At 40.2% G+C, this 12,800-nt stretch overlaps 1 protein-coding gene across 10 annotated transcripts, besides 2 other annotated features; it reads right to left on the bottom strand.

Annotated features, from left to right (window-relative positions):
* Nucleotides 1–1,484: 1,484 nt before the first annotated feature.
* ZNF181 (zinc finger protein 181) lies at nt 1,485–12,620 on the bottom strand. Of its 10 annotated transcripts, none has more exons than XM_006723183.4 (5): nt 12,253–12,620; nt 11,817–11,893; nt 7,595–7,715; nt 7,242–7,340; nt 1,485–6,252 (listed from the first exon to the last, which is right to left on the bottom strand). In XM_006723183.4, the coding sequence occupies exons 2-5, from the start codon at nt 11,823–11,825 to the stop codon at nt 4,766–4,768; spliced, it is 1,716 nt and encodes a 571-aa protein (XP_006723246.1). In that variant the 5' UTR covers nt 11,826–11,893; nt 12,253–12,620; the 3' UTR covers nt 1,485–4,765. The 10 variants fall into 10 exon arrangements, with proteins under 10 accessions (XP_006723246.1, XP_047294703.1, XP_016882228.1 ...); XM_047438747.1 differs by having other exon boundaries at nt 7,254–7,340; XM_017026739.3 differs by having other exon boundaries at nt 7,242–7,337.
* Nucleotides 12,378–12,437: a silencer, noted in NCBI's record as "silent region_10508". NCBI's record gives its function as "represses an Ori minimal core promoter by ATAC-STARR-seq in GM12878 lymphoblastoid cells {active_cell/tissue: GM12878}" and the evidence as "EXISTENCE:reporter gene assay evidence [ECO:0000049][PMID:35858748]".
* Nucleotides 12,538–12,587: a silencer, noted in NCBI's record as "silent region_10507". NCBI's record gives its function as "represses an Ori minimal core promoter by ATAC-STARR-seq in GM12878 lymphoblastoid cells {active_cell/tissue: GM12878}" and the evidence as "EXISTENCE:reporter gene assay evidence [ECO:0000049][PMID:35858748]".

Raw genomic sequence — 12,800 nt, 5'->3', positions numbered from 1 at the left:
CTTTGACACACCTAGTGAGCTTTGCAAGGTAGGCAGGACTCCCTCGGCAGGTAAGCGTGGTAATAAATGGGGTATGGGACACATTCTAGGCAGAAGGAACAGCATGGCCAAAGGAGACATTTTTTTGTTCAGGGAGGCCAAGAGAGCCTGTATGGTTGCCAAGAGAAACCCCAGTCTTCTGAGATCTGTCCTAGGAGGGCAATATTGTGTGGTCTTTTACTGAATGTTCAAATGTAGCCTATATTCCTAAGATGTGTGACTCTGAGAGAGACTCAGGTCACTAGCATGAAGATGATTATGGCATTTACCTTACAGTATGTGGGAAGATTATTAAAAGCAGGAAAAACACGGCAACAAACTTCCATGCAGAGGCACTTTGTTGCTTGCTTTATAAATCTTTTAATTCTTACAACCAGCTGGTAAGATGGGAATTGTTTTTGTTTTGATGGAAAAATTGGGAAATGAAGTGACTTCACCAAGTTTATAGAGTAAGCAAGCGACAGTCCCAATAGGCTGAATTCACACCTAGGAATTTGGATCCAGAGCATAGAACATTTAATTGTCTCAATGCAGCACACAGTGCAAACACAAGGCCCAGTTGCTGCTGCTATTAACAGTATTGTATTATGATTATAGTTTTTCCCTATTTATCTTTGATGCCAGAGTGCTTACACTCTGCACCTCTTGGGCCATATGGCCTTGTCATTGTCTTGTATCTTGCATCAATTACTTTTGCATATAAAGCTTTTTTCTCTAACACAATTGCAATTTGTTTAAAGACTGACTCCCCCTCAGCAGCAAAAAAATAAGTTCCCAGGAAGTGCTCAGTGATATGTGCCTTGCTTCTTTCTAGATGTTTACCAACAACTGAGCTCTAATCACATCTGACTGGCCCAAGGCTAACAAGGAAACTGTTTGACTTTCCAGGCATCAGTGACCTTCAATGACAGGCTCTAACCTCCATTTAGGAAGAGTGAAAGCAGTGGCACCCAGCCCACAGGACTCTGTATTCAGAGATGATGATGAAGACCTGTAGGCTTCTGGTCTCTGGGTAGAGCCTCCCCTTTCCTTCATGTGGAAGCCTGATGCCTCCTTCACTCGGCCCGTTTTCCAAATCTGTAGGGCACCCTCCTTCCTTCCCATAGACCTGCTAGGTTCCCATCTCATCTCCTACCTGGTCTCTTTGTTTCTCCTCAGATTATTTAGGGCAAGAAACATTCCCTCCCTCAAAATGGCTCAGATACTCAAGAATTTGTTGGAAGTTAATCGGGGGGTTTTGTAAGAGCTCTCCTCTAAAAATGTTAAACAGTAAACACATGGGAGTGACAAGTGATTAGATGTGACCTTTGAGACCAGAATGATGAAGCAACCATGAGAAGACAATGATGATGTAATCAATAGCTAATACTTATTGAATGCTATTGAGAGGCCAGGGATTGTTGTAAACACTTTACACCAATTAATGCATTTAATCTTCATAATAATGCTGTGAGATAGCTTTATTATCATTTTACAGATGGAGAAACTGAGGCAAGACACAGTGAAATAGTTTGTCCAAGGTCACACAAAGCCAGTATTCATGCAACTTGGATTTAAACCCAGGTAACATGACTCCAAAGTTTAATGCTGTTCACACACACACACCTCAGGGCTCTTAAAGGGTATGGAGTGTTTCTTATCTATTAAGCCCATAGTGGATGCTCAAGAAATGGTTAATAGGTATGACTGAGGAAATAATATGATGTCAGTGACATCATAACATCATTATGACATCAGCCCAACCTTCTATCATAACAAAGTAATAGTCTCTTATTGCTCTCTTAAAACTATCTTCATTTAAAAAGATGGCCTTCTTTTTCCTAGTTCTGTATTGTGAAGGCACTTTAAATCCAGAAACGTAAAGCATTATCATGTGTATGCCCATGCTTTTTAAATGACAAAGCACAGGTATTTCGATGAATCCTCTCATAACAAAGTGACATGGTAGCATTAAACTATGTGTAGTGGAAACAAAATCTGGGCATTATAGGACTACTTCATCTCTGTGGTACCAGTTGCTTGGGAGAGCAGAGAAAGGACACAGAATGAGAGAAAAGAAAGCTACTCTCATTATCCCATAAGTATATATGTGGTAGCCAGTCTATCCATACTTGCAACTGTCTGATACCACATCATGCTTCCTTAATTGTATTTATTTACTTTGGAGACAGGGTGGTGTTCTGCTGTCCAGGCTGGAAAGCAGTGGTGTGATGATAGCTCACTGTGACCTTAAAACTCCTGTACTCAAGCAATCCCTCCCCACTCAGCCTCCTGAATAGCTAGGACTGCAGATGTGTGCCTACACCTGGGTAATTTTTTTTTTTAACAGACTAATGAGTTTTGCTATATTGCCCAGGCTGGTCTCAAACTCCTGGCCTCAAGCAATCCTCCTGCCTCGGTCTCCCAAAGTGCTGGGAGTACAGACATTAGCCACTACATCTGGCCCTTCCCTAATTATAAATCTTCCAAAGATCCTTCAATGTTTCACAGAATTTCAATATAAATTTCATGATTAAAAATAAATCAAATGAAAGATAAAATCCCTGCAAAATAGTAAAAGTTTACCACCCCATTCCAAACCTACTGTCTCTTGCAAATTGCTATTGGAATATGCCTCTGTGCTTTGGCTTTCTGTTAAGGTAGCACATATATCAGAGGAGATACATTTTGTTGAAAGTCAGAAACCTTATCACTCATTCCACACCAGAATTATCATAACTATAACATAATGTTCCTTTTTAAAATAACATATCTTACTACTCTCACCTGAGATAAAGAACAAAATCTGAAGCATAATCCATATCACACCCCTTCACTTGCATCAGTGTCCATACACTCCAAATCAAATTGATCTGCATTACCTTTCTAATCACAAGATAGGATTCTAATCACAGGGCCAGTGAGACTGTTCCATTTCTTATCTAGAACTTAGAATATTTGAAGCCATCCTGCCTCCTTACAAAACATAATTATCTGTCAAGGTTCAGTGCAGAGAACAAAATCTCTCTTAACTATTTCAAGACATATATTGCTGCAAATTAGTGCTTTCAAAATTGGTAGGTGGGCTGTAAAAGTAATGAGAACACTTCTGGGCTAGTGATTTCAAGGTAAACTCCCGTAACTATGACTCAGGGATAGAGAAATGACGGTTGCTGCAATGATGCTGCCAGCAGCACTACCTCAAAGCCACAGAATCTGAAACTAGACATGGGAACGTGGAATCCAGCTGCAGCAAGTATGACAGAACTCGACTGTCTGCTTTACCTAGATTAACACCCAGCACACCGCATACACACACGCACAGGCACATGCAGGGATGCACATGGCTACATGAGTAGTACTCATTACATAATTAGTGTTCATCATTTAGGATTCATTTCAAAAATCACATCTCGCTAAGCCTGCTCTGATCTCTTGTAGTATGTTGTTTCTTGGTTATGTCCTCATAGCACTTGTAAACCATTATTTCAAATTTATTTGCTATCCATCTTTCTTGTCAGATAACATCCCTGCGAGAAAAAGATCAGATTTGTTTTGTTCATTATTACAATGGTTATCAAAATGTGCTTTCTGGACAGTGTGTCGCCTAAGAACGCATGAAAAATGCAAATTCAAATCAACTCATACAGAAACCCTAAGATTCAGACTTAGCAATCTGTGCTTTAACAAGCCCTCCTACTGACTTTGACACACCACTAAAGCTCAGAACTACTGGATTCCTATATCCCATCGCTGTGTAATAATACACGAGTGATGCTCAGTAAATTTTTTTGAAATGTATTTGATTAAGCCTACTGGAAATTGACTCTGAATAATCCTCATCAAAATACTGCTATTCTTAGTATAAAGAGCAGGTCATTTTTCTCTAGGTTTGCTAGTCTCCCACTAAAGGCTACGCTAAGGCTAATCTTAGTGAAATTTTTTTTACAGGAAATAGTCACAGTGAAAGAGTTTGTGATATACAAAATGATTTTATTAGATGCCAAAACTTTTATTAACATCACTTTATTTCTTTTGCAGCTTTAATTTTCAATATTATAACACTTACTGGCTCCTCTGGGTGACTAAATATCTTCACATGCCCACTAGCTAAAAAGAATTTCTAAGTAGAACTCAACTGAAACTGCAAGCTACTGCTCTAAGAAATGCATATTTTATTATAATGTTTATTTGCTCTCCTGTAGAATCCAGTTTACAAATAGCATGACTGCAAAGATTTACACATAACTCCTAAATCCTTCAGGTTGTTCTACCATTAATCTTCTGATGTGTACCAAGATAAACACTCTTAGTGAACACTTTGCTACATCTCTTAAATGAGATTTCTCTCCATTTTGAGTTCTCTGCTGTAGAATAAGGGATATACTTGGAACTGAAGACTTCCCTCAATTTCTAAATTTTCTACATTCATACAGCTTCTCTCCTGTAGGAGTTTGTAAAAGATTCCTATTGTCTGTAGTCTTTCCCACATTTGCTACATGTACAGGGTTTTATCCTAGTGTGAGTATACTTATGTCAATTAAGGGATTAATACTGACAAAGGCTTTCCCACATTTATGGTCTTCATATGATTTCTCTACAGTATAAAGTCTAATAAACAAACTGGCCTGCATCTTTGCTAAAAGGTCTTCCTATATTCACCACATTCATAAGACTTTCCCCAGTATAAATTTTTCTAATGTTAAATAAGGGAGAATCTAGGAAATTTACCATGATAACCACTGCTTCATACAGTTTCTCTTCTGTAAGATTTCTCACATGTATAGTGATTCATATAGTCTAAAGGCTTTTCCACACTTACCACACTATTGGGTTTCTCTCCATTATGTACTCTTTGATGGGCAGTAAGATTTGAGCCTTTGCTAAAAGCTTTCCCACACTCATTACATTTATATGGCTTTTCTCCAGTGTGAATTCTCTGATGTACGGTAAGGTTTGAACTACAGCTGAAGGTCTTCCCACATTTAATACATTCATAAGGTTTCTCTCCAGTATGAATTCTGTGATGTTGAAGCAGGGATGACCTATGACTAAAGGCTTTCCCACATATACTGCATTCGTAGGGTTTCAATCTAATGTGATTTCTCAAATGCATATTCAGTGATTCAAGCTGGTTGAAGGATTTCCTGCATTTCTGACATTCAAAGGGTTTTTCTTCAGTATGAATACTCTGATGCTGAACAAGAAATGAGAGGCTACTAAAGACTTTCAGACATTTGTTGCATTCATATTGTTTCTCCATAGTGTGAATTCTTTGATGTCGAGTAAGGTGTGAGCTACAGCAGAAAGCTTTCCCACATTCTCTACATTCATAAGGCTTCTCTCCAGTATGGATTTTCTGATGGTGAATGAGAGATGACCTATGAATGAAGGCCTTTCCACATATACGACACTCATAGAGTTTTTCTTGAGTATGAATTCTTAGATGTTCAATAAGATGGGACACACGACTAAAAGACTTTCCACAGTTCATACATTCATATGGTTTCTCTCCAGTGTGAGTGCTCTGATGGTTAGTAAGTGATGAGACATGGCTAAAGGCCTTCCCACATTCAATACATTTGTAAGGTTTCTCTCCACTATGGCTTATCAGATGTCGTGTAAGGGATGAGCCATGGCTAAAAGTCTTCCCACATTCACGACATTCATAGGGCTTCTCTCCTGTATGAATTCTCCAGTGGCGATTGAGGATTGACTGTTTGCCAAAGGCTTTCCCACATTCACTGCATGTATAGATTTTCTCTCTATTACAAGTCTGGGGAAGGGTAAGAGATTTGCCCTGGCTGAAGGCTGCCCCACTTTTATTAGAATTCAAAAGTTTCTTTCCACCATTGACTTTCTCATTTTTTATAACTGACTTTTTTGGTAAGTTCTTCTTTAATATATCATATTTGTGTGAATTCCCTTCAGCAGAAATTTTTTGTGGTTCAGAAAGAGTAGACTTTGAATGAAAGGTGCTTCTAAATATATTGTATTTGTAAACACTGTCTGCAGTGGGGCTTTCTCTAGAGGTGAGAATTGCTGGTCTGAAATGGTCTACCTGACTTCCATGCTTCCCTTCCAACTTCTCTATATATTCCAAATTCTTCTTAGAATTTGAAAATTCATAACTTTGTTTTACAACTTTTTCTATTATTACTGTTTGGGGTGAATCTTCATCATAATTATCCTTCTTTGTTGATAATTCCTTGTTTTCCCATCTTGATTCCCAATCTGAAATACATCAAAAAAGCAAAGCACTGTTTTGTTTTTTTTTAACTATTTGAAAAGAAACTTCTAAATTGGAATTAGGAGAACTGGATTAGAAATGAAGCCCCCAGAAAACACATAGTTCTGACAACTGAAATATTTCAATGATTTCTGAACAGTGCTCAAATGGAGCAGAGAATACAGAGTTCACAGAAGTGGGAACACAGTGTGATAATGGAAATGGGAAAAATATATGTAATGGATGAAATAGTATGGAAAAAAAGGAAGTTATCAGAAATAAAATGTGGAAGGCATTCTGGATTCCAAGCCATCATTTTGTGCCTATATGCATGTATGAAAGATTGCATTTTGTCTCATAGCCTTTTTCTCCAACATTCAATTAATCTCAATTTGCTGCCAGATTAACATGCTTAAAATACAGAATTGATGTTATTAAACAGTTGCAGTAAAAACACAATAATCTAAATGCTCTTTATAGCTGACAAAGATTTAGGCTTTCTGAAGTTATGAAGAAACTGTGTGAATCATGTCATTTATTGGACATTAGAAAATATTCCTAGAAACATATTTATATATGTTCATTTTTTCCTCTAATATGTTCATATTTCATCTACAACGCTCAGCTTTAGAAAAGTGATTTCCCATCTAATTGACAGCTTTTCTTAGCCTAAAACTATCAGTATGTTTTTCTTTAAGTAGATTTAAGAAAGAATAATTTGCCTTACTGTTATGAATAGAGTAACAATTGAATTATTATGAAGGCAAAAACCTCTAACCTTGATTGGATGACATGAGTGATACAGATAATAATTTGGGATAGAGGAACAATTGTTTTGAAAATCTAAGCTAAATATCCCACAATTTTTCATTTCTATCTGAGATCTTTGAAAACAGTATACCTAAAATGCCTCCACACTCACTATAAACTCACTATAAAGAGTTTGGGACCCTTTTTAACAAAATCTTCCTTTGTCTCGTTCACCATGACTCACCTGGAATCATACCTTTTGACAGTTTTTTCTCCATCATCCAGGGCTCTTTTCCATCCTCCAATAACGTGATCACATATGGCTTAGTTACAGAAAGACCTGCTTACAGGAAGAATACAGAATTGTTTAAGCCGTGGTCCTCTATTATGAGAGGCCATCACAAGAGGGACCACAGGAAGGGATGAAGGGTATTCATCGAAATGGAAAGATAAGCTTCAGGCAGGGCACAACAGAGCTGCACATTTCCTTGGGAACATGCTACAGAAATTCAGCCATTTACTTAGGAGGGTCTCCAGCAATTCAGGGTGGCAAAAGAAAGGTGTCCCCTACTGGAGTGGAAGGGGTAATATCCTTACCTACAGAGACCAGGTTCTCATAATTCTGGACCATCACATCCTTGTATAAGTCCCTCTGAGCAGAACTGAGCCATCCCCACTCTTCATGAGTGAAGTCTATAGCCACATCATTAAATGTCACCTGAAATAGCAAACATATTTAGGCTCAGCCATAGCCCAGGCCTCTTCTGTCACTGAAGAAAGGGTAAAATTAGCCTGGTTGTGGGAGAAATGGAACAAGATTCAGGAGTTGTGGCAATGATTGGGAATGTGATCTCAGTTAAGTAATAATAGGACAGTTATGTAGTTGGAATTACTATACAATAAGGGGGACAGTTATGTGCTTAGAATTATTATACAATAAAGGTGAGAAACAAATATGAGAGCTTTGCTTCAGTAGAGTTAATTTTGCTAAAAGTTACAGAAATACATGAATTTTTAAAAATCAGCATTTGACATTTGACAGCACAGAGTCAAGTATTTAGTTATATCTTTTACAGCTTAACTGCTAGGTAAGTAATTAAAAAATGAGGGTAAAGTGATTGTCTCTCAAATGGGATACTCAGGATGATCCACTAAGGCTCACAAAAAATGGGCAGCTGGGTGTGGTGGCTCACACCTGTAATCCCAACTACTTGGGAGGCTGAGGCAGGAGAATGGCTTGAACCCAAGAGGCGGAGGTTGCGCCACTGCACTCCAGCCTGGGTAATAGAACAAGACTCTGTCTCAAAAAAAAAAACAAAAACAAAAAAAAAACCTTTATATTAAAGACTAATAGACATACACTGTTATGGTTTGATTGTGACCCCCAAAACGCGTGTATTGAACTTAATCGCCGCTGTAACAGTTTTGAGAGGTGAGACCTTAGGAGATGATTAGGCCTTGAGGGCTCTGCCCTCATGAATGGATTAATGTCATCATCATTAGGAGTGACTTCCTTATTTAAAAAATGAGTTTGGGCCCCTTTTTGGTTCTCTCTCTTCTCTTCGCCCTTCCACCATAAAAGGACACAGCAAGAAGGCCCTTGCTGGATGCCTGCCCCTTGATCTTGGACTTCCCAGGCTCCAAAACCATGAGAAGTCAATTTCTATTACTCAGTCTGTGGTATTCTGTTATAGCAGCACCAATGGACTAAAATATACACATAACTGATTCATAAACAAAAAAGAAAAATATATTTATGGTGTATACTTAAACTTTGTACTGATAGACAATTATTAAAATATGAGACCCCTGGGTGAAAAGACTGAAGGATGGTTTCATGCCATAGATCAGGGGTCCCTAATCCCCTGATGGTTAGGGGTACATAACCACTGGTACCAGTCTGTGGCCTGTTAGAAATCAGGCCACAGAGCAGGAGATGAGTGGCAGGCAAATGACTTTTATCACCTGAGCCCTGCCTCCTGTCAGATCAGCTATGGCATTAGACTCTCATAGGAGCGCAATCCCTACTGTGAAGTGCGCATGCAAGGGATTAAGGTTGCACGCCCCTTATGTGAATTGAACTAATGCCTGATGATCTGAGGTGAAACAGTTTCACCCCCAAACCACCACCTCCTGCTTCTGTGGAAAAACTGTCTTCCACAAAACCGATCCCTGGTGCCAAAAAGGTTGGGCACCACTGCCTTAGATAGTCCTTAAATAAGACCTGAAAGTAAAGGGAAAAAAATAAAGGGGTACGTTTCAAAGAAAATAAGGAAATGTTCACAGATGTGGCTTAGAAATTCCTTTCAATAGTACTCATTTCACAATATTACTTTTTAGTAAAACTTTGGAAGCTTAAATATTCAATAATAGTTTATTGGCTAGTCAAATTATAATATGTACAAAAAATACATCTATTTAATACAGCATTATTACTGTCTTTGATTTGTGAAACAGACTGCTTGCCTGTGGTAATTTTTTAGCTCTGAGAGTTAATTCAGCATTGTATTACATTATTTGGATATTTTGCATGCATGTTCACCAGTGATACTCGTCTTTGGTTTTAAAGGCAGAATTTATTTTTGCCAGGTGTTGGGAAAATAATTAAAATTCAAATCTCCTGCCAATGGCAGAAAATCCTCTCCACAAATGTAGAAAAAAAGAACACAGTTTTATTACTTAATAATCACTAAATCAACTGTGATGCACTTCACAGGCAATCCACTAATGAGATTAAAAGGACAGGAAGAAATCTCTTTTTTATAGCCAAGCAGATACAATCCAATACATACATTTTCCAAATAATCAAGTAAGACCTTACAGTTCAATTTGCTACACATAATTTATCCTAAATTCACCTGTTAATTGGAGTTGCCACTGTGTTAGTTAATTCCCTTTATCCCAAATCAAAAAAACATTTCTCATAGCTTTATGATGAACAGGTTATTACAAGTTAGAGCCAGGGATGCTTCCTTCTTCCCCTTCAGTTGTCTGGGCAGCCTGGGGTGTTCACTCATCTCTGTCCCCAAAAGAACATAGCCTATCTGTCCTGGCATTTATTTTAATTTCTTATGCTTTCTTACTTTTCTACCAGTGCTGCAATCCTCAATACAGTAGCCACTAGGCAATTTGGCTACATACATTTAAATTAATTAAAATGTAAAAATAAAATAAGTAAAGTTTAAAATTCAGTTTCTCAGTTGCTTAAGCCACAGTTCAAGTACTCAATAGTCATACAGGGCTGGTGGCTACTGTACTGACCAGTACACATGCAGAGCACTTCCACCACTGCAGAAAGTTCTCTTAGACAATACTGCACTAGATCATGAAGTCCTGTGTGTCAGTGTACACCAAAATCCATGTACAACTTTTCCTAACAGATACTTCCTAAGTGTTTAGAAGATGAACCAATGAATGATTTTGGCATTAGTTCACTTTAGCTGTTACTTTTTTCTTGCTCTGCCGCCAGGCTGGAGTGCAGTGACATAATCATAGCTCACTGCAGCCGCACACCACAGGGTTCAAGAAATTTTCTCAACTCATCACCCTCCCGAATAGCTGGAAAAACAGGCATGTACCACCACACCAGTTTTTCAATTCTAATTATCTAACTTCTCCAAGAAAACAGACTTCACCCAACATGTACATCTGCTACTCACATCCCCTCCTATGCAAGCTTCACCTTCCATGCCATGATTCTGCCCCACCAGTTCGTCATTACTCATCTTATTCACTCCACAATTACTTACTAAGCATCTATTTGGTGCCAGGTAACCCTCTGGGTACTGAAGCTATAACAGACAACAAAAAAGAAAAAAGATTCCTCCCACCAGGAACAGACAATGAGCATGTGCATATACTGAACATACAGTACATCAGCTAGTGAGTGACACACACTGTGGAAAACAACAAAGCAGTGATGGAGGAGTGGAAGTGCTAGGCGAGGGAAGGTGACTGCGATTGCAAATAGCCATTCAGGGAAGCTTTTCTGAGAAAGTAACCACGGAACAAACACACGAAGAAGATAAGGATGCAAGTTTGTGCGTATGTGGGGGAAGAATATTCCACGTCGATGGCACAGCAACTAGTGACAGTGGCTAGAGCTCACAGGAATGAGGAGGCAGAGAAGGAAGGTGGGATCAGAAAGGTAATGGCCTAATTGTACAAATAGGTCATTGCAGAAGTGACTCAGTTAGAGCCACTGAAAAATTATAGGTTGAGGAATGACAGGAATTTATGTAACAATAGGACCACGGTCACAGCTGTACTGAGAACAGACTGATGAGGGTTAAGGGCAGATGCAGGGAATCCAGCTAGGAGGCTACCGCAATAATCCAGGTGGCTTTATTGCTATCACTACCGGGGTGGTAGTGGTGGTGGTAGTGCTGGGGTAACTAATGGTCAGATTCTGTATACAGTGTATAGCTTAGCTCCAACTAGAGGATCTGAATATAGGTATAAGTCAAAGGGAAGAATCAAGGATGACTGCAAGCATCTCTTCACTTGAGACCACATGGTACAGTTTTGACAACCATAAACCGAATAACCTTACATTCCAAAGTTGCATTGTGAATTACAGTTTTAAAATGTTGGCAAGACTAGAAAGTCTTCTAGCAGAAAACTGTAGAAAAGAGGAACACTGGGTGAGGAGGATAATACCTTGGAGCTCTCCTGTGGGCTCCGTCCTTCCTATACTGAAAGGAACCATGGATCCAGTCCCTTAAATGGACTTGGTTAGGTGGGAACAGGCAGGAGAAGCAAAGCAAACACACAGTCCTGATAAAGTGTTTCAGGAAGATTTGCGGACACACCGACCTACCTGAGGCATTACTCTGCAATTTCCAACAGCCAACAGAGTCCTCTTTCCAGGCTCTTATCTTAGAGATGGGCAGTGTCCTGAGGGCACAGAAGGGCAGGAAAAAGCAGTCATGAAAAATCAGGCTTATCTTGCGGCACCTGTGACACACCATAATGGAAAGGCACACTGGTAATCACTCTCCAGGGCGCCAATCTCTCCCTGGGAACTAACAGGGTGTTTCTCCGCAAGGGCTAACCATTTACCAGGTGCCACCTGCGAGGAAAATCAATTACTCTGTAAATAAAATCCTCATAAAACAATGGTAAAAACTTTATCAGCTCGTTCAGTCTTCACCACTATGCACGGTGTGCGTTCACATTTTTCCAGATCTATTTTTTAAACGATGACAAAACTGAAATTCCAAGATACTGAACCCATTTGTTCAAGGTTACACAACTGTAGAGCGCCGGCTTCATGACGACATAACCCAAAGACAACTGTGGCTGGCGTCTAACCACGCGCCCACTTCACTCTCACAACAGCGCCAAGAGGTCGGCGCCGTCATCACCCCGCGTTTACATAGGAGGACATGAAGGCCAGGAAAACCAAGGCACCGGCCGGGGTCACACCGCGGGGCAGACCCAGGGCCTGAGCCCCGCCGCCGCCCCCGGGACTCATACTGGCCGGAGTCCTCAGCAGGGCCTCACCGTCCCCGCAGGCGCCCCGCGTCGCTGGTGAGCGGGCAACGGCCGCCGACCTCTGGGGACGACACTGCCCAGAATCGTCCCGGAGCCTGGGAGTCGCCGTCAGGCCTGAGGCTACAGCGGGGCGGACCCAGTGCGCCGCCCACAGCCGATCGACATTTCCCAGAATCATCCGCGCAGGGGACAAAATTCCAGGCGCAACGAACCGCAGGTACCGGAAGACCACACTTCCCAGGAGTCTCTGCGGCCGCGCGGACCTGGGGCGCCGCGGGCAAACAGATCTCGGTTTCCTAAAAAACTA

The sequence above is a fragment of the Homo sapiens genome, chromosome 19 (assembly GCF_000001405.40).
Source record: "Homo sapiens chromosome 19, GRCh38.p14 Primary Assembly".
Lineage (NCBI taxonomy): Eukaryota > Metazoa > Chordata > Mammalia > Primates > Hominidae > Homo > Homo sapiens.
Note: the sequence above shows the minus strand (reverse complement) of the source record. Positions and strands in the feature narration are given on the sequence as shown.